The 22768-nt window shown below is 40.9% G+C and overlaps 1 protein-coding gene across 2 annotated transcripts in view; it reads right to left on the bottom strand.

Moving 5' to 3' along the window:
- The window catches only part of TOP6BL (TOP6B like initiator of meiotic double strand breaks), a 98748-nt gene that overhangs the window by 39860 nt on the left and 36120 nt on the right, over positions 1 to 22768 (bottom strand). For both annotated transcript variants that reach the window (NM_024650.4, NM_001302084.2), the window contains 4 exons: positions 15388 to 15497; positions 7293 to 7376; positions 2961 to 3016; positions 2555 to 2626 (listed from right to left, as the gene is read on the bottom strand). In NM_024650.4, coding sequence (NP_078926.4) covers positions 2555 to 2626; positions 2961 to 3016; positions 7293 to 7376; positions 15388 to 15497 — 322 coding nt within the window. The remainder of the gene's footprint in view (positions 1 to 2554; positions 2627 to 2960; positions 3017 to 7292; positions 7377 to 15387; positions 15498 to 22768) is intronic.

The following is a 22768-nucleotide window of genomic DNA, read 5'->3' as shown; positions in this document are numbered from 1 at the left end:
GGTCAGGAGTTCAAGACCAACCTGGCCAACATGGTGAAACTCCATCTCTACTAAAGATACAATAGCTGTGCATGATGGTGCACACCTGTAATCCCAGCTATTCAGGAGGCTGAGGCAGGAGAATCGCTTGAACCTGGGAAGCGGAGGTTGCAGTGAGCTGATATTGCGCCACTGCACTCCAGCCTGAGCAACAGAGCGAGACTTTGTCTCGAAAAATAATTACTATTATTTTATTTTATTAGAGATGGGGTCTCACTATGTTTATTAGGCTGGTCTCAAACTCCTGGCCTCAAGCAATCTTTCTGCCTTGGCCTCCCAAAGTGCTGGGACTACAGGTGTGAGATATCATGACCAGCCTGTTTCTTATTCTCAAGTATACTTCCTCCACTAAAATTAATCTTTGGTTCTGAGCAAATTTCCAAATTCATTCAAAGGTCAGCATTGTGTGAGGGGGCCCATGAATCACAAATGGCCTAAAACTGGCCCCATGATACTTATAAGTCTGCTCTCACGCATGCTACACCTTCCGCTGAAGAGGTCTGAGGTTGCTGTTTGATAGTAACAATGAGAAAAAACCAGGCCATCTTTCTCTCCTAGAAAGAATCTAGTAAAATTTTGTTACTTTCCAATAGCTCTTTTCTAAACAGAGAGAAAACAGTCAACCTGAGAAAGCTGATTAAGAATGAATGAATTAATTAATAGAGAGGAAATATTAATGAACCTTTCCCTTTGTCTCTAATCAGGTCATCCAAGGAAACACATCTACAAAAATTGGCTCAAAGGCTTAAACTTGTGTCAGTACAACTATGATGATGAGCTGCTACCTGTAAGGATTGTTTATTATTAGAGGATCACTAAAGAAAGATATGGGGTGGGGAAATTATTACCTGCATATTAAATGACAAAAATATTCTCATCTGAGGTGTAATTTTGGGTGAGAATAAGAAAACAGACTAAGAACCACAGGCAGTCTCTTTAAGCCTTAAGAGACTTTGACTACTAGTGTTGCCTCTGGGCACATAAATAGAGGCAGAAACTAATGAATAAAGACTAAATTAGGGCTGGACACATTGGCTCACATCTGTAATCCCAGCTCTTTGAAAGGCCGAGGCAGGAGGATTGCTTGAGTCCAGGAGTTTGACACCAGCCTAGGCAACAACCTCATCTCTACAAAAAAAAATTTTTTTTAAATTAGCAGTATATGGGCTGGGCGCAGTGGCTCATGCCTGTAATCTCAGCACTTTGGGAGACCGAGGCAGGAGGATCACGAGGTCAGGAGATTGAGACCATCCTGGCCAACATGGTGAAACCCCATTTCTACTAAAAATACAAAAAAATTAGCTGGGCGTGGTGGCATGCACCTATAGTCCCAGCTACTCAGGAGATTGAGGCAGGAGAATCGCTTGAACCAGGGAGGTGGAGGTTGCAGTGAGGTGAGATCTGCACTCCAGCCTGGGCGAAAGAGCGAGACTCCGTCTCAAAAAAAAAAAAAATTAGCAGCGTATGGTAGCATATTTCTGTGGTCCTAGCTACTAGCTACTCGAGAGGCTGAGGTGGGAAAATGACTTGAGCCCAGGAGACCAAGGCTGCAGTGAGCTATGATGGCATCTGGGTTGAACAGACTGAGACCCTGTCTCAAAAAAAGAAAAAATAAATTAATTGGACTTAAGCATATGTTAGGTCTTTTCTTGACATAATTCATTTTCACTTTGGATTCTGTGGTAGTTAAATGGCACAGGAAGGCAAGACAGAAGGGCTCTGTGTGTTCCATATTGTTTACCACCTCCTCCATGGATTTTTTACATTTTTTATTTATTTATTTTTTTTGAGACAGAGTCTTGCTCTGTCGCTGGAGTGCAGTGGCGTGATCTCGGCTCACTGCAACCTCCACCTCCTGGGTTCAAGTGATTCTCATGCTTTGGCCTCCCAAGTAGCTGGGATTACAGGCATGTGCTACCATGCCCAGCTAATTTTTGTATTTTTAGCAGAGACAGGGTTTTGCCATGTTGGCCAGGCTGGTCTCAAACTCTTAACCTCAAGTGATCCATCAACTTCAGCCTCCCAAAGTGCTGGGATTATAGGCATGAGCCACTGCGCCTGGCCAGATTTACTTTCTTGGAGTCTGAAGAAGATGGAGATGGGCAGAGAGATGATTTCCAAACCTATGCAAAATGCTGATGCACAGAAAATAATGTACACTGAATTCCTTTGTATTCATACTATCTCTCTAGCCAAGAATTCAAGTAAAGTTTTAAATTCATAGTCTTCTCTTCTCATGCCTAAATGGGATTGGAACTAGCAGGGTCTGTGTAAAATAAGGCCTGAAGAGAAGAAGGCACATGTCTTCAGGTCATTTAGAATAGATTCAAATACATAAATAACTTAAAATAGCAGTTTTCAACATAAAAAAAAGTTTTACTTCTGCTTTTCTTATAGAGAAGCTGACACCTGGCACTTACAAATGACAAGTGAGACAATTTCCAATTTCTACCCACATTCGTACTCGAGAGGAGAGTAAAACATGCAGAGGGACAACAAGGCTTTACGCCTTCACCTCACATAATGCTGGGAGTCGACCAAAAGAGCAATTCCATTCCCAAGGTTCAAAGTGGGTTCATTCTCCACCCTGCAAAGCAAAGCAAAGCTAAGCCATCTCTCAAAGATTCTAAAATCAATCTCTGTTTGACATAAATTTTGGCCCATGACTACTACCACCCCAGCGATTACTAGAATTCAGTAACTAATTAACCAAGGGGAAAATGGCAATCTTTAAGTTTACCCCCTCTAGAGACAGGGATGAATCTACTAAAATAATAAAATGTGGGGGTGTCAGAAAATTAGTTTCAAGGTGACTTTGGGTCAAGATATCAAACTGTGAACCTTTTGGAAATAGGACAATAATAGCTGAGAAAAATTGCAGAGCCATAGCATCATCTTAAGCCATAGACCTAAGAACTTACCCAAAGATCTCTGTGGAGAGGATTCCATTTACCTTTACACTGAAATGAAATCTGACCTGCAAAACAATAAGTTAAGTGTGAGATTTAACATGAGCCAAGATACAGATTAAAAACTTCCATATCTAATCCCTAAAGGAAAAGAATAAGCTTAAAAAATTTTAAATTAACATTACTTTTAATTGATAAACTATAACTGTATACATTCATAGGGTACAATGTGGTGTTTTGATATATGTATATAATGTGGAATGATTAAATCAAGTAGATTAACATCTATCACATAACTTACTAGCATTTTTTGTGGTAAGACATTTGAAATTTACTCTCAGCTATTTTGAAATATATAATACATTATTATTGACTATAGTCACCCCCCTGTGAAATAAGATTCTAAAGACTTATTCCTCCTGTCTAACTGAAACTTTGTACACTTTAACTAACAACTCCCTATTTCCTTCCTTAACCCACTCCCAGCCTCTGGTAACCACCATTCTATTCTCTACTATGAGTTTGACTTTTTCAGATTCCACATATAAGTGAAATCATACAGTATTTGTCTTTCTGTTGATTAAGAAAATGTGGTATATACACAATGGAATACAGTTAGTTTTTTGTGGTTTTTTTTTTTTTTTGAGACAGGGTCTTGCTCTGTTGCCCAGCCTGGAGTGCAGTGGTGTGATCTTGGTCTCCCAGGCTCAAGTGATCCTCCCACCCCAGCCTCCTGAGTAGTTGGGACCACAGGCATGTGCCACTACACCCAGCTACTTTTTGCATTTTTTTGTAGAGACAGGGTTTCACCATATTGCCCAGGCTGGTCTTGAACTCCCAAGGTCAAGTGATCCTCCTGCCTCAGCCTCCCAAAGTGCTAGGATTATAGGAATGAGCCATCATACCCAGCCTAGTCAGCCTTTAAAAAGAAGGAAATCCTGTCATTTGTGACACGGATGAACCTAGAGAAACAAGACTTTTTTTTTTTTTGAGACGGAGTTTCAGTCTGTCGCCCAGGCTGGAGTGCAGAGTGCAATGGCGCAATCTCGGCTCACTGCAACCTCCGCCTCCTGGGTTCAAGCAATTCTCCTGCCTCAGCCTCCCGAGTAGCTGGGACTACAGGCACGCGCCACTGTGCCCAGCTAATATTTGTATTTTTAGTAGAGATGGGGTTTCGCCATGTTGGCCAGGCTGGTCTTGAACTCCTGACCACCCAAGTGAGTGATCCACCCACCTCGGCTTCCCAAAGTTTTACTTCTGCTGGGATTACAGGCATGAGCCACCGTGCTCAGCCAGGAAAAAGACATTCTTTTTTTTTTTTTTGAAATGGAGTCTCACTCTGTCTCCCAGCCTGGAGTGCAGTGGCAAAATCTCAGCTCACCGCAACCTCCACCTCCCAGGTTCAATCAGTTCTCCTGCCTCAGCCTCCTGAGTAGCTGGGACTACAGGCACGCGCCACCATGCCCAGCTAATATTTGTATTTTTTTTTTTTTTTTTTTTTGGAGACAGAGTCTTGCTCTGTCACCCATGCTGGAGTGCAATGACACAATCTCGGCTCACTGCAACCTCCACTTCCCAGGTTCAGGTGATTCTCCTGCCTCAGCCTCCTGAGTAGCTGGGATTACAGGCGTGCGCCACCATGCCCGGCTAATTTTTGTATTTTTAGTAGAGACGGGGTTTCGCCATGTTGGCCAGGCTGGTCTCGAACTCCTGACCTCAGGTGATCTGCCCACCTCGGCCTCCCAAAGTGCCGGGATTACAGGCGTGAGCCACTGTGCCCAGCCAATATTTGTATTTTTAGTAGAGACAAGGTTTCACTATGTTGGCCAGGATGGTCTCAATCTCCTGACCTTGTGATCCACCCACCTCGGCCTCCCAAAGTGCTAGGATACAAGCGTGAGCCACCACGCCCGGCCAAAAAATACATTCTTTATCACTTGTATTTTCCCTAAACATACTTAATGCTTGCCTGTGTTTAAATTCTAAATCTTAAATATATTGAGCCCTATATCACAGCTCCAGGTTGTCACAAATTATCAGAAATCATCCCTGCCTCTTTGCCATTCTCTCAACCCCTATCCCTTAACTTTTTTTTTTTTTTTTTTTTTTTTGAGACAGAGTCACTTTGTCACCTAAGCTGGAGTGCAATGGTGTAAACACGGTTCACTGCAGCCTCAACCTCCTGGGTTCAAGCGATTCTCCTGCCTCAGCCCCTCAAGTAGATGGGACCACAGGTGCATGGAACCACACCCGACTAATTTTTGTATTTTTAGTAGAGACAGAGTTTCACCATCTTGCCCAGGCTGGTCTGGAACTCCTGAGCTCAAGCAATCCGCCCAAGTCGGCCTCCCAAAGTGCTGGGATTACAGGTGTGAGCCACCACACCCAGCCCCTTCACCTCCTTTTTAAAGGAACTATCCATTTTTATTTCTATTATTTTCATATGTGGAACATTCCATGCTTTTTTCTTTGCTTTTTCTTCCTCTTCTCCATCTGACTTTTATATCCTCTCCAGTGTACCTCACTGTTCTAATTATTCTCTCCATTCACCTATATTTTTCTTTCTGTGTAACATAAGGTAAGAAGTGACTCTAGAACCAGACTGCCTGAGTTCAAATCCTGACTCTTCAAGTTATTTACTCTCTGTACCATAGTTTTCTCAGCTACAAAATGCGGATGATGATGATAAAACTTACTTCACAAGGGGTGTTGTAAGAGTTAAGTGAGCGAGTGCACAAAGAGCACTTAGAATAGTGACTGAAACAATAGGCAAAAAGTAGGAAGATGGCAGAAGGGGGATGTCATAGATATGCTTAAGTGTTTATCTTTATAAACATATCTAACTACAGATAATAAAAAATTTAGCTCTCTAATATTCAAAATATTCTATCAAAATTTCTTGGCCAGGCATGATGATGGCTCACGCCTGTAATCCCAGCATTTTGAGAGTCTGAGACAGGTGGATCACTTGAGGCTAGGAGTTCAAGATCAGCTTGGCCAACATGGCGAAATCCCATCTCTACTAAAAATACAAAAATTAGCGAGGTGTGGTGGTGCACACCTGTAATCCCAGCTACTCAGGGAGCTGAGGCAGGAGAATGACTTGAACCTTGGAGGTAGAGGCTGCAGTGAGCCGAGATCAAGTCACTGCACTCCAGCGTGGGTGACAGAGCAAAACCCTGTCTCAGGAAAAAAAAAAGTCCTTATTTGTTCTTATAGTCACTTTAGAAAAGGAGATAAACAGCAAGGTTTATTATCTAGCTTTAACAAAAAACAAAGCACAGAGGAGGGAAGAGGTATCTAAAGTGATACAATAAAGCAATAAAAAAAAGTGAAAATAACCCAAAACAAAGCTCTCTCTATCCAGAGGTTTCTCGCTATAACACATAACCAACATTAAGATTGCCTTGGCTGGGTGTGGTGACTCAGGCCTGTAATCCCAGCACTTTGGGAGGCTGAGGTGTGTGGATCACCTGAGGTCAGGAGTTTGAGACCAGCCTGGCCAACACAGTGAAACCCTGTCTCTACTGAAAATACAAAAATTAGCCGGGCATGGTGGTGCACACCTGTAATCCCAGCTACTAGGAAGGCGGAGGCAGGAGAATGGCTTGAATCTGGGAGGCAGAGGTTGCAGTGAGCCGAGATCATGCCACTGCACTCCAGCCTAAGCAACAGAGTAAGACTCTGTCTCAAAAAAAAAAAAAAAGATTGCCTTGGGCCAGGTGCAGTGCCTCACACCTGTAATCCCAGCACACTGGGAGGCCAAAGCAGAAGGATTGTTAAAGCCTGGGAGTTAGAGACTAGCCTAGGCAATATAGTGAGACCTTGTCTCTCTAAAAAAAAAAAAACAACTGTCTTAAGGACATAGAAACCAAATCAATTCAATATTGAAAGTTGAAAGTTGTCTTTTTTTTTTTTTTTTTCCAAAGACAGGGTCTCGCTCTGTCACCTAGGCTGGAGGGCAGTGGCACAATCATGGCTCACTGCAGCCTCAACCTCCTGGGCTCAAGCAATCCTCTCACCTCACCCTCCTGAGGAACTGGGATTACAGGAGCTCACTACCACACCTGGCTAATTTTTAAAATTTTTTTTGTAGAGACAGAGTCTCACCATGTTGCCTTGGCTGGTCTTAAACTCCTGGACTCAAGCGATCCTCCCGCCTCGGCCTCCCAAAATGTTGGGATTACAGGTATGAGCCACCATGACCTCAAATATTAAACGTTTTAATCATCTTCATTGAAAGAAAAAGAACCAATCACATCTGTCCATGTCCTACACAGTAAAGGTCTCTGGAAAACAATGACTTAAATAAGAGAATCATTATTGTACAAAGGAACAGCTTACCTTAGGGTGCACCATGATGATTTTACGTAAAAAATGCTTTATAACCAGACAATCTGTCATCAAGGTTCTGGGCTTTTCATCAACCTGTAATAATACAACAAAAACACCTACCACACATACACAATCTCAAGAGCACAAATGAATTAAAACGGTATTTCCTCTTCTAAAAGTAACTATACCTCAGAAAGCTTTTTGGACAACCAAAGGGAGACATCTTTGGGAATGAGAATTGTATGCAAAAGAAAATCTAAATAGCCATCACTTCTTGGGTTAGAGTATCTATTACACGGAACTTCAGAAGACACGAGAATAAAGATCAGAGTAAAACCCATAATGTCAAAACCACCTTTGGGGACAAATTTAAAAGTAATTCAGACTGAAGTTGGTAAGAATAACTCCACCATCCTAATGTGCTTTGGAACAATCTGTATTAAGAATCTGAGTTATGCTTTTTTAGAAAGAAATTTTAAAAAAAGAATCTGAGTGGAGTCGGAAGGAGCAAACACTAAAAGGAACCTATTTTTGACATCAATCCATTAATCCAAACATTTATTTATAAGGAAAAGCTGAAGAGCAAAAAGCTCAAAAGTCAGAAGACCTGTGTTCTAGTACTGGTTCTGTAAAAAAAAAAAATTACTTAAATACTCTTGAAAAAAAAAAAATCACTGCTCTGGACCTCATTTCCTAATCTGCAAAATAGGGATAAAACCTACCGCTTTGACCTCACAGAACTGTTTTAAGGATCCATATATTTGAAATTGTAGGCTGGGCGTGTTAGCTTATGCCTGTAATCCCGGCACTTTGGGAGGCCGAGGTGGGCTAATTACCTGAGGTCAGGAGTTCGAGACCAACCTGGCCAAAATGGTGAAACCCCATCTCTACTAAAAACACAAAAATTAGCCAGGTGTGGTGGCATGCGCCTGCAATCCCAGCTACTCAGGAGGCTAAGGCAGGAGAATCACTTGAACCTGGGAGGTGGAGGTTGCAGTGAACCAAGATGGTGCCCCTGCACTCCAGCCTGGGTGACAGAGCTAGACTCTGTCTCGAAAAAAAAAAAAAAAAGAAGGAAAGAAAGTGTATATTATACATGGTAACAATAATAGATATCACTCATTGAATACCTACTATGTGACAAGTGTTGTGCAGTTGCTATATATATACTACCTCACAATAATCCTGTAAGGTAGGTATTACAATCTCTTCTTTGTATATATATATATATTTTTTTTTGAGATGGAGTTTTGCTCTTGTTGCCCAGGCTGGAGTACAGTGGTGTGATCTCGGCTCACTGCAACCTCTGCCTCCCGGGTTCAAGCGATTCTCCTGCCTCAGCCTCCTGAGTAGCTGGGACTACAGGTGCGTGCCATCATGCCTGGCTGATTTTTTGTATTTTCTGTAGAGACGGGGTTTCGCCATGTTGGCCAGGCTGGTCTCGAACTCCTCACCTCAGGTGATCTGCCCACCTCGGCCTCCCAAAGTGCTGGGATTACAGAAGTGAGCCACTGCGCCTGGCCCCTTCTTTGTAGATTTTTTTAAAAAGGCTCAGAGAAGTTAAGCAACATGCCTAAGGTCACTTAGCTGTTCAGTAGTATAGCCAGAACTTGACTGTAAGTCTTTCTTTTTTGTTTTGTGAGTGACCTTAAGTCTTTCTAATACTAATTGCCCATGTTCTTGCCAATATACTACAAACACTTCCCTACAAATATAAGATTTACCACTAGGTGATGATTTTACAGCAGGGATGGTGCTAAGGTATCTTATTTATATTATCTCATTTAACCTTCACAAAAACTCTATTAGGTACCCAAATTTTATAAATAAAAGATTGTGCAGGATCTGGATTTTTAAAAATGAAGGAAAATAAAAATAAATATTTTACAAAAGAGTCTCAAAAAGGTTAAACAGCTTGTCCAAGGTTAGCCAGGTCAACTTGGCTATAAATCTTTAGCATTAACCACTTACCTATACTGACTCACTATTATAGTGTTCCTAAAACCAAAGTTAGAAACAGTCTCCTAGAAAATGCAGAACTCCAAAAAAATGAAAGAAGAAATACAATCAGAAATCAGTAGGTTTTTATTGTTGGCTCAGAGAATACACAGCCATGTACTAGGTATATGTTAAAAACAAAAAACAAAAAAAATGGTCCCAGATGTCAAAATATGATAATACAAAAAGAAGAAACATGCAAATATAGAAGGATAAACTATTACAATATTTTTATTTTATTACTTTTTTTTTTTTTTTTTTTTAGAAACAGGGTCTCGCTTTGTCACTCAGGCTGGAATGCAGTGGCATGATCATAGCTAACTGTAACCTCGAACTTCTGGGCTCCAGCAACCCTCCCACCTCAGCTTCCCAAATAGCCAGGACTACAAGTGTGTATCACCACACCTGGATAATTTTTATTTTTTAATTTTCTGTAGAGACAGGGTCTCATTATGTTGCCCAGGCTGGTCTCAAACTCTTGGCCTCAAGCAGTCCTCCCACCTTGGCCTCCCAAAGCACTAGAATTACACATAAGCCACTGCACCTGGCCTTTTAATGTTTTTTATAAGTACACTGAAAAAGAAGTCAAAAACTGTGGCAATAGGTTGGGATTAAAGATAGAAAAAATTGGGCCAGGTGCAGTGGCTCACACCTGTAATCCCAGCACTTTGGGAGGCCAAGGCGGGTGGATCACCTGAGGTCAGGAGTTCAAGACCAGGGCTGGCCAAGATGATGAAACCCCGTCTCTACTAAAAATACAAAAATTAGCCTGGAGTGGTGACGGGCACCTGTGATCCCAGCTACTCGGGAGGCTGAGGCAGAGAACTGCTTGAACCTGGAAGGCGGAGGTTGCAGTGAGCCAAGATCACACCACTGTACTCCAGGCTAGGTGACAGAGAAAGACTCTGTCTAAAAAAAAAAAAAAAAAAAACAAAAAAAGAAAAAATTATTTGAAAAAGTATTTGAAAAAATTAACAAAAATGGGCTGGGCACAGTGGCTCATGCCTGTAATCCCAGCACTTTCGGATGCTGAGGCGGGCAGATCACTTGAGGTCAGGAGTTCAAGACCAGCCTGGCCAACATGGTGAAACCCCATCTCTACTGAAAAAATACAAAAAAAAATTAGCCGATTACAGATGGCGTGCACCTGTAATCCCAGCTACTTGGGAGGCTAAGACACCAGAATCACTTGAACCTGGAATGGAGGTTGCAGTGAGCTGAGATCGTGCCACTGCACTCCAGCCTGGGTGACAGAGTGAGACTCCATCTCAAAAAAAAAAAAACATTATTACCAAAATGGATGGGGGATTATTAGAAAATTCTGTAAATATGTCTAGGATTATTCATGCATGTTAACAGTGGTAATTAAATAATAACTGCAATTGGTATACATATCATAGTCACATCCTTCATTTTTAAAATTTTAGTATAAAATGTTTAAACCAAAAAGCAATAGTCTTTAAAGCATTTTCTGTGCTTACCACTTCCAAAACAACTTCTTGGAACACTTTCAAAGCTTTGTAACCTTGGTGATTATAGGGCGTATCATAGAGAGGGCTAATTATATCTAACAGTAAGACAACCGAAGTGAAAGTTCCTTGAGCAACTACTGGAGAGAGACTACAATGAATAATGATGATATTTACTGACTACTTGCTACATGTCAAGCAGTTTCTATGCAAGTAAGAAATAACTCCATTTTATAGAAGAGGATAATGAGACTCAATAAGCTAATTAATTTGTCCAAGGTCATACACAGCTAGTTAAGTGGCAGCACTGGGATTCAAACCTAGAGCTGACTAACTCCAAAGTCCACATTCTACTATCCAATGCTGCCTCTCCAAAAATGTTCATTTTCTGTGTATACAGGTAGCTATCTGAATGGGGTAATATATAATCCATCATTATTTTTTATGGAGCCTGACAAGCAATGCTTATGTATGGCTACTCAATATATGCATTTACTCACTCATAAAATATTAATGTGGCTTATTATGTACCTGGGCTTATAAAAATAAATAAGACAATCTCAGAATTAGAAGAGTTCACAGTTCAGTAGATGAGACAGACTAATTTATATGACAATGTGAAATTTAGATAAATGAGGTGCTAAAGGAATACAGCAGAAGGACCGACACCTATCCCAGAGTTAGGATAAAGTGACTAATGTCAGGTCAGAGAGGATAATTAATACAACACAACTAACCCCTTAAAAGGGGTTAGAGGACCCTTTTAAGATCTACTCATAGAATTATTAGAGAGAGGAAGCTGGGTGCGGCGGCTCACGCCTGTAATCCCAGCACTTTAGGAAGCCGAGGCAGGCGGATCATGAGGTCAGAAGATCGAGACCATCTGGCTAACACAGCCCATCTCTACTAAAAATATAAAAAATTAGCCAGGCATGGTGGCGAGTGCCTGTAGTCCCAGCTACTCAGGAGGCTGAGGCAGGAGAATGGCATGAACCTGGGAGGCGGAGCTTGCAGTGAGCTGAGATCGCGCCACTACACTCCAGCCTGGGCCACAGAGCAAGACTCCCTCCCAAAAAAAAAAAAAAAAATTATTAGAAAGAGGAAGAGAGAGATGACAAAGCCTTTTACAGTTGGGTGTTGGGTGTTAGAGACCCAGTACCCCAGCCTGACATACCTACAGAAGCAGTGAATTTACTTATTTACTGTTATGAAAAAAATAGATGCTGCCAGCCGTGCACAGCAGAAACTACTATTGAATCATATGGTTTTAGCCTTCACCTTTAAATATGTCTAATTATATGACAGAATATAGAAGTATGTTTTCAAATATGAACTTATACAGTCATGAGCCCTTATATCACTTTCTAGAAGAAAGTCTGTCTCTCTCTCTTGCCCCCTCACCTTAGATACATACACACAGAAGTACAGATGTATAAATATATAGATATGTTTGTGCATATATATGTTTGTATGTATATATGTATAACTCCATTCACTTGATCACTTAGTATTATTACAAAAATAAATATTAAACTGGATAAAGCTGTCAAGAAGATCTTATAAAATCAGATTGCTTTTGAAGGGACATGTTACCCAGCCTAATGAACACCAAGATGTAAGACTAGCTGTGGGCATAAACACAAAACCCAATATCTCTCCTAAATGAAACTTTCCTCAGTCTTCCTTGCAATTGACTTTCCTCGCAGGCCCAAATTAATGGATCATTTATTATAGCTTTTCCATGGAGTCTCTATTAGCCTTTGCTGTGAACCTTGCTACTTAACCTTTCTCCTCAATTGAGGCATCCATGATGAAATCTTTTACAATCTCCCTTTTATCTCTTCTCATTCTCTTCATTCAAATATTGTCTACATAGCTGCACAGTACCAAAAACAATGAGATATAATGGAAGAAATGCATGAGGAAATCCTTGTTCCCTTGAGGCTAATGCCGTTTGACTATACTATTATTTTACTTCTCATCTCCATCACCAGCTGACTGCTGGTCACTAAGCTCACAGTTTTCCTCTGTATGCCAAATGCTGTCATCATCTTGACTGACATCCATATCCAAGCAGATAACTAGCCTAAGCAATAACTTAGTCTCACAGTTCCCTGACCTCTTCAACAATAATGACCTTGACCTCCACTCATTCCCAGCCACCTATTTCCATGGCCACGGCTTGGAACTGTTCCATTCTGAAAATCTTAAATTGAAATGTCCCACTCTATTGTGAAAAGATGTACACCAAGGTGTTAATAACGGCTGCCTTGAAAGGCCAAATTATGTGTATTCTAAATGTTTGTTTTGATCATACTTTGATTTTTCTGAGGGAAACACTACTTTTGCAATAAAGAAATAAGAGAAACTTTATCACTCTGATAACAACTTCCTATTCTTTCAAGTGTCAGAATCTCCTACACCCAGCAAATCTGTTTTTCAGTCTCATCAAGACCTCCAGACTTCAACCTCTTCCCATGGATTAGATGCCCTTCCTCCATGCTAACATAGCATTCAGGGCTCACTTCTATCATCCATCCTGGGAATCACACCGTATTGTAATTACGTGTTTACTTCTTGATCTTTCTATTTATATTCCAGGTTCCTTGGGATCAAGTAACATATCTTTTTTTTTTTTGAGGCAGAGTCTCACTCTATCACCCATGCTGGAGTGCAATGGCGCCATCTCGGCTCACTTCAAGCTCCGCCTCCCGGGTTCACACCATTCTCCTGCCTCAGCCTCCAGAGTAGCTGGGACTACAGGCTGCCACCACACCCGGCTAATTTTTTGTATTTTTTGTAGAGACGGGATTTCACCGTGTTAGCCAGGATGGTCTCAATCTCCGGACCTCATGATCCACCCGCCTCAGCCTCCCAAAGTGCTGGGATTACAGGTGTGAGCCACGGCGCCCAGCCAGGATCAAGTAACATATCTTAAGACACTGTACCTACAGATAGTATCTAGCTCACTGACACTGACTTGAACAAACACACGTCTGGATGAATAAGTAAATATTGAAATAGCCCTGATCTATATGAGTCAGACTTTGGTTCAAGTTCTAATTCTGCCATTTAACTGTTGTATGACACTGGGAGAGTCAGTCAAGTTCTCTGAATCTCAACTTTCTGGTCTGTAAAATGGGGTGATAATCCTCATCCTACCCACTTCATAGACTTGTCAGGATGCTTACATAATATATATAAATGTTATGTATACAACTTACTGCTTGTTCAGGCTGACTGAAACACAGAACCTCATTTCCTAGAATTGCCCTTCTTGGTTCACTGGAATCACCTTTTTATTGCTACTTGACATGAATAGTTTCAGAGCTGACTAACCATTAATTGCTCCAGATTGTTTACCCTCCATTCTCCTAAAGAAGATAAGGCACAGCCAGGGATATCTGTTGTCCTGATACCATACCCATTCCTTTCAGAATGAGCATATAATTATTCAAACATGGAGAAAGGCTGCCCAAGGGCTTCCTGGGAGAATGTTTAAAGCACTCTAATTCGTTATGTCTCCACCAACTCTAAGGAAGGAAAATAGGAGATGAGAGACCTGTTAAAGGGAATGGAGAATGAATTATCACCCTCATAAATCTGGACTACAAATAAGTCGATAAAGAGATCTCTAAACCAAACTAATAAAAATGTATCCAGGTAGGATCTGCACTGGGAGTCACTTTTAATTTTCTTTATTAGGAGATCCAAATTCAAATAAGGGCTTGTTTCAGTGGTTCTCAAATTCATCTGCATATTAGGAATCACCTGGGATCTAAAAAATGTTCCAAAGCCTATGCCATACCTATTACGGACTGAGTGTGTCCCTCAAAATCCATATGCTGAAGTTCTAAGCCCCAAAGTGACTGTGTTTGGAGGCAGGGCCCTCAGGAGGTTATTAAGATTAAATGAGGTCACAAGGGTAGGGCACTGACCCCAGGTCTTAATAGGACTGGTGTCCTTATAAAAAGATACACCAGAGCCAGGTGCCAGTAGTTCCCACCTGTAGTCCCAGCTACCAGCTACTCGGCAGGCTGAGGCAGGAAGATCACTTAAGCTCAGGAGTTCAAGTCTGTAGTGTGCTATGACTGCACCTGTGAATAGCCACTGCACTCCAGACTGTGCGACATAGCAAGACCACATCTCTACCAAAAAAATTTTCAATAAAAATAAAGAGACATTAGAGATCTCTTTCTTTTCATCCACATGCAGAAAAAAAGCCATGTAAGGACACAGTGACAAGGCAGTAGTCTACAAGCCAGGAAGAGAGGCCTCACCAAAGCCAGCCCTGACAGCACCTTGATCTTGGACGTCTAGCCTCCAGAACTGTGAGAAAATAAATCTCTATTGCTTAAGCCATCTAGTCTGTGGTATTTTGTTATGGCAGCCCAAGAAGACTAATAATTACAACACCCAGACCAATTAAATCACAATCACTCAGAGTGGGACACAGACGACAGTATTTTGGGAGCTCCTAGGTGATCTAATGTCTGCACAGGCAAGTTTGGGAACCATTGCCTTATTTCATTCCAGCTTGGAACTTTGATGGACCTAGGCTTTTCTTTCTTGTTATTAGATTGCAGAAAAATAAGAATAAAATCATTAGTAATTTATAAGACCACAACAAAACCTGCCTCAAAAATCATCTGGAAGGGTGTTACCCCTGTCATATCCTGAGAATAGCTGCCTTCCTCTGAAGTCCAAGTCAGCTTTGCAGAGATTCCGGGCAGTATGGACTGTATTTCTGTGTGAGAAGAAATGGCAACAAAGTCAAACAAGCAGTTTGGATAAGAACCAGGATTTCTGGATTTGTTTATTAAACTGGTGAGCCAAGAAGGCTTTTCCCTGATGAAAAGATTATCTACAAGATTTAAAATATGACTGGAAATGGCTATGCATCAGCAAATTGCTTGAACATTTAGAATTACTTTATGGGATTAGGACATTTAACCTCATCTTTTCAATTTTTTACATTTGCTAAATCAATTTTTATTTTCTGTTAATTTCCACAAGGTCATGTTTAATGCCAGATAGCTTCAGAACTGATAGTTCTGATATTCTTGTATTTTTTAATAAATCAACTCATTATGTAATAAACACAAGTCTAGTACATGAACTAATTTAGAGCTGAAGGCTGAAAAATTCAAGAATGACTCTCAGGCATGTACCTTTTTTTTTTTTTTTGAGTCGGAGTCTTACTCTGTCACCCAGGCTGGAGTGCAATGGCGCTATCTCGGCTCGCTGCAACATCCGCCTCCTGGGTTCAAGTGATGCTTATGCCTCAGCCACCCAAGTAGCTGGGATTAGAGGCATGCACCACCATGCCCCGCTAGGCTTTTTTTTTTTTTTTTTGTATTTTTAATAGAGATGGGGTTTCATCACGTTGGCCAGGCTGGTCTCGAACTCCCGATCTTAGGTGATCCGCCTGCCTCAGCCTCCCAAAGTGCTGGGATTACAGACATGAGCCACCGCGCCTGGCCTGCTTTGTTATTGAGGTTGACAATGTTGATATTACACAAAAATTAAACTTTAAAAACCTAACGATGATTAAAAAAATATGCCCTAAAATAACAGCACAAGTTTCTCCTAAGGCATTCATGCTACATATCTCATAATGTTTTAACCACCTCAAAAAAGTGTGCACATTCCCAAGATCAAATCCTAGCTATCGGCTGGGCACGGTGGCTCACGTCTGTAATTCCAGCACTTTGGGAGGCCAAGGTGGGTGGATCACCTGAGGTCAGGAGTTCGAGACCAGCCTGATCAACATGGTGAAACCCCGTCTCTACTAATAATACAAAAATTAGCCAGGTGTGGTGGCATGCTCCTGTAGTCCCAGCTACTCAGGAGGCTGAGGCAGGAGACTTGCTTGAACCTGGGAGGTGGAGGTTGCAGTGAGCCAAGATCGTGCCATTGCACTCCAGCCTGGGCAACAAGAGCAAAACTCCATCTCAAAAAAAAAAAAACAAAACAAAAATTGTAGCTATCAATCTTAATGGGTAATATTGTTCTTGCCATTAGTTTGTTTTTCAAACCTAATTCAGTTACAAAGCCCTTGATAATAGGACAGCAAGGGTATGCTACACTGAAGTTTAATGAACTTAGCACTAAACCAGGATGTCTTACGTCAATCTTCAGTTTCACCACTGATCAACTTTCTGACCTAAGGCAACCCCCCTTTTCTGTGATTCAATTACCATTCTGTGAAATAAGAAAAAATTGTACCTGAATCCTATTTCAGTTTGATTAGTAAGACAGTACAGAAATGGGGTAAATGTGGATATATGAGAAAAGGTTTGTAAATAACTGAATTCTTCAGAAATCTTACTAATTTAAAATAAATTGTGTAGATATTTGGGGGGAAATCAATTTCAGTAGTCTCACTCCACACACACAAACATACAAATCCAGATAGGTTGACTACAGTTAAATGTAAAAAGGTGAAACAAAAACTAAGTAAAAGCCTTTGATTTCAAGATGAATTAAGCATATGCTGAAATCTCATCTTCCTGTTCAAACATATAAAATAATACAAATATTTTTAAATCTTAATAAATACATAGTCATGGTGAGAAAAAAAGAAAACAGAAATTTTTTTTTTTTTTTAAGACAGAGTTTTGCTCTGTCACCCAGGCTGCAGTGCAGTAGCATGATCTTGGCTCACTGCAACCTCTGCCTCCCAGGTTCAACAGGGTCTCCTGCCTCAGCCTCCTGAGTAAGTAGGATCACAGGGTTGTGCCACCATGCCTGGCTAATTTTTGTATTTTTAGTAGAGACAGGTTTTGCCATGTTGGCCAGGCTGGTCTTGAACTCTTGGCCTCAAGTGATCTGCCCGCCTTGGCCTCCCAAAGTGCTGGGATTACAGGTGTAAGCCACCATATCTGGCCAGAAGAGAGAAATCTTTATAGACCAGAAATGGAAAGGTGTTCTTCTTTCTCCTCCTTTGAAAAGAACAACAAAAAGGGAACAAAAGAGAGATTCCACAATAGTAGACAAGAACTAAAAAGATGCATAGTATTTGGGCCTAGACTAGGAAAAAACATAGAGCTAATACTGTAACACTCATAGGTTTAAGAGCAAGAGCCACACACAGGAGGTCTAAGCAAGGGAGCAACACATGAACAAGGACTAGAGGTGCACTGCCTGTCTACCTGAATGTTGGTTACAGCCAAGGGGATTCTGGCAGCAGCCTCACTGATATGAGATGAGGGCCATAGAGCCATTTCATGTAAGTGGTGAAAGGACTCAGAACTATATAATCTATTAAGATGCAAGAGCTTTGCATCTTACCACCCATACAAAGATTAATCCTAGGTATACATCATACAAGGCTAAGGCTCAGCAACTCAGAGAGCCTCCTACGGGACAGTTGTCAACACAAAATGTGTTCAGATTAAACATATCATGAACAATTAGCTCTTAATTAAAAATTACCAGGCAAAGAAGATTAATACCATGAAAACGATAATACACATCAACCAATGCACTTATACCTAAGGAAATAAAGTTAATAGAACAATCTGGGAGAGATTTTTAAATAAGTATCTATATTTTATACCTTTAAAAAGAAAAAGAAGCCATGAAACAAGGAAACACTGTCGTAAATTAAACAGAAAGTAATGGGGTATTAGAAATCTTGGAAACTGGCTCGGCACGGTGGCTCATGCCTGTAATCCCAGCACTTTGGGAGGTTAAGACGGGTGGATCACCTGAGGTCAGGAGTTCAAGACCAGCCTGGACAACATGGTGAAACCCCGTCTCTACTAAAAATATTTAAAAAATTAGCCGGGCATGGTGGTGAATGCCTGTAATCCCAGCTACTTGGGAGGCTGAGGCAGGAGGACTGCTAGAACCAGGGAGGTGGAGGTTGCAGTGAGCTGAGATCACGCCATTGCACTCCAGCCTGGGCGATAGAGCGAGACTCTCAAAAAAAAAAAAAAAAAAAAAGAAATCTTAGAAATTAAAGATACAAAAAAAAGAAAAGAAATTAAAGATACAGTGTTTGAAATTAAAACTCTATGGATGGTTAGATTGGACACAGTAAAAGAGCAAATGTAAAAGAAAACTTAGTACATGAATGCTCATAGCAGGATTACTCAGAACAGCTAAAAGTGGAAACAACCCAAATGTCCATCAAATGATGAATGGCTTAACCAAATGGGGAGTATTCAGCCATAAAAAGAAATGAAGTACTGTTACATGAAACAACATGGATAGGCCTTGAAAATATAATGCTTAAAGAACCCACACACTAAATGCTACATATTGTATGATTCCATTTATATGAGATGTCCAAAATAAGCAAATCGACAGAGACAGAAAGTAGATTAGTGTTTGCCAAGGCATAGAGAATGAAAGTAAGCAGAGTGACTGCTAATGAGTACACGGTTTCTTTTTCTGGATGAAAATGTACTGGAATTGGATAGTGATAACAGTTATACAGGCAGGAAGCAGTGGCTCATGCCTATAGTCCCAGCACTTTGGGAGGCCAAGGCGGGAGGACCACTTGAGCCCAGAAGTTTGAGACCACCCCTTGGCAAAACCCCATCTCTATAAAAAATACAAAAAAATGGCAGGGTGCAGTGGCTCACGCCTGTAATCCCAGCACTTTGGGAGGCCAAGGTGGGCGAATCACGAGGTCAGGAGATCGAGACCATCCTGGCTAACACAGTGAAACTCTGTCTCTACTAAAAATACAAAAAAAAATTAGCCAGGCTTGGTGGCAGGCGCCTGTAGTCCCAGCTACTCGGGAGGCTGAGGCAGGAGAATGGCATGAACCCAGGAGGTGGAGCTTGCAGTGAGCCGAGATCGCGCCACTACACTCCAGCCTGGGCAACAGAGCAAGACTCCATCTCAGAAACAAAAACAAAACAAAACAAAACAAAAACCAAAAAAAACAAAAACAAAAAAATTAACTAGGTGTGGTGGTGCACAGCTCTAGTCCCAACTATTCAGAGGGCTGAAGTGGGAGGATTACCTCAGGCCAGGAGGTAGAGGCTGCAGTGAACCATGATCACGCCACTGCACTCCTGCCTGGGTGACAGAGTGAGACCCTGCCAAAAAATATTAGTTATACAATCCCGAAAATATACTAAAAACCACCAAATTGTATACTTTAAAATGGTTGTGTTTATGATATATGAATTTTATATCAATTAAAAGAAAAGGCAAGAGACATTAAAAATAGATCCAGAAGAAATAATGACTGAGAAATATAAAACAAAGACAGATGTAAGTGCTATCTGAACAGTTTTACCAAACGTCAAGCAGGCTAAATTTCGAAAAAACAAGGCAAAAGCAAAAATTAAAAAAGCCACATAGTTAACACATCACAGTGAAACCCAAAATAACAAGGATAAGCAGAAAACCCTACGAGCTACCAAAAAAATTAAATTAGCAAAAAAAACCCATGAGTTAGCAATGCTAAATGTCAGAAGATGATCCAGTACTATCTTCAAAGATCTGAAGTAATTTTGAATCTGGACTCTTTTACTTACTTATCTATCTACCTATCATCTATCTATCTGTCTGTCTGTCTGTCTGAGACAGGATCATGTTCTGTGGCCCAGGCTATGTGCAGTGGGGTGATCATAGCTCACTGCAGCCTTCAACTTCTGGGATCAAAGGATCCTCCTACCTCAGCCTCCCAACTCACTAGAACTACAGGTGTACACGATGCCCAGCTAATCTTTTTTCTTTATATTAAACTGTTTAGGGAAATTGTTGTAATTTTTTGTAGATACAGGGTCTCACTATGTTGCCCAGGCTGGTCTCGAGAGATCTTCCTGCCTCAACCTCCCAGAGTGCTGGGATTACAGGCATGAGCCACCTCACCCAGCCAAATCTGAACTTTTAAGAGAGCCAAACTACCATTACAAAATGAGAGACTTAAAATGTTTACCATCTACAAGTCCTCAAATAACCACTAAACAAACCACCATGTCCATTTAAACATGAGTTTACATTTTTGCTGAGATCATGTGGGGATAAGGAGGAAGAAAGAGATCATTATCAGTATCAAGTTACCTCTTCACATAGGTCTTCAACTGTTAAAGATGAAGTAGATAGAAAATTTTCAATCAGATGACATTACGAACACATAGCAAAACTATGTACTGGGGCTTCTCCTCCCAGCATTAATGAAATAACCAAATGAGCCCTCAAACCAAAAACTACTGTAAAACTGGATAAAATATATGAGACAGTTGTTTTCAGGCACTGGACAATAGATAGCACAAGGTTACAATCCCTTGAGAGAAGGGAAACTCACCAGGTTAGTCCTGTTATTTCCCTGGGTGTCTGCCTGGGGAAATTTTCCCATCTACAGAACAGGGACATGGAACCCAAGCAGAGGACAGTGGTCCCACTAAGCTGAGGAGGCAGAGAATAGATTTTGGAGTTGTGAAAGTACCTGGAATCTGCAGGGCAGGGCACTGGAGAAGAGGGAGATACAAAGAGCAGGGTACTAAAGTCTGTGTAGGAGCTCCCCATGAGTCCTTGGCCAAGGTCTGGACTATCCATGCAGAGAGTGAGACTACATATGATTTCCCACAGAGCAGGTGCTATGGAGTTGAGAATGTAACAAGACACTAGCAAGATTTTCCAGTGCTGAAAAATGTTGGCCTTCAGGCCTAGCTAGAAATGGGGAGACCTTGTTAAAACTGCTGGTGTCTAGCTGAGATGCCCCACAGATAATGCTTTAGTAATAAAAACCATACTGTCGATGAAGGTGTGCTCTAGACCCACCCCAAAAAAGTCTAAAGCCATTCCTTGACAAAACCCACAGAGGAGATAGAGTTTGGAGGCTAAATGGTATCAAATTAGAAGAGTTTGAAAAATGCATTGGCTTTCTACAGACCTACCCTTTAAAATGCATAAAAACAAGCCTGTACAAGGTCAAGGTGCATAGCCTACTAGAGCAAAAATTAATACTCTCCAGAGATAGATAACACAATATAGAATATGATCATATTGCCCAGTATAAAACAAAAATGTACTAAATATGCAAAGAAATAGGAAATGATAACCCACAGTCAAGGGGGAAAAAAAGCAACTAATAGAAACAGAACCTGAGGGCCAGGCTCATGCCTATAATCCCAGCACTTTGAGGGGCCAAGGCAGGGAGATCGCTTGAGGCCAGGAGTTTGAGACTAGCCTAGGCAACATGGAAAGACTCATCTCTACAAAAAAATTTAAAAATTAGCCGGGCGTGGTGGTACATGCCTGTGGGTCCTAGCTACTCAAGAGGCTGAGGTGGGAGGATCACTTGAGCCCAGGAGTTGGAGGCTGCAGGAGCTATGACTGTGCCACTGCACTTTTCAGCCTGGTGACAGAGTGAGACCCTGTCTCTGAAAAAAGAAAAGAAACAGAACCTGATATGGTACAGATATTACATTTAGGAAAGACTTTAAAGAATCTATTATAAATATGTTCAAAGGCTTAAAAGGCGGCCTTAATGAGTGAACTGATAGGAAATGTCAGCAGATAACACTATACAAAAAGAACCAAAAAGAAATTCTATAACTGAAAAGTTAAATAATTGAAATGAAGAATTCACTTGATAGGTTTAATAGCAGATTAGAGGTGACAGAAGAGTCAGTAAAATCACTGAAGACAAATAACAAAAACTATCCAATCTGGAGAATAAAGAAAAAAAAGACTGAAGAAAAATGAATAGTCTTAGAAACCTGTAGGAAAATATCAACCAGTCTAAAATATGTGCAATGGGAGTCCCAGAAGGAGGATAGGAGAATAAAATGAGAATAGGACAAGAAAAACATCAAAAAACCATGAACAAAATTCCCTAAAATTTCATGAAAAATATTAAGGTGTGAAAAGCTCAGCAAACCCCAAGGAGGATAAATGCAAAGAAAATCACACCTAGGTATATAATAGTCAAAATGATAAAAACCAAAGATAAAGATAAAATATTGAAAGAAGCCAGAGGAAAAGCACACATCATATACACAGGAGGTATAAAATGAATCACAGCTGACTTCTTACCATAAACAATAA

Source organism: Homo sapiens, chromosome 11 (genome assembly GCF_000001405.40).
Source record: "Homo sapiens chromosome 11, GRCh38.p14 Primary Assembly".
NCBI classification, from domain to species: domain Eukaryota; kingdom Metazoa; phylum Chordata; class Mammalia; order Primates; family Hominidae; genus Homo; species Homo sapiens.
The sequence above is the reverse complement of the archived record's forward strand: the minus strand, read 5'-3'. Positions and strand labels throughout refer to the sequence as shown.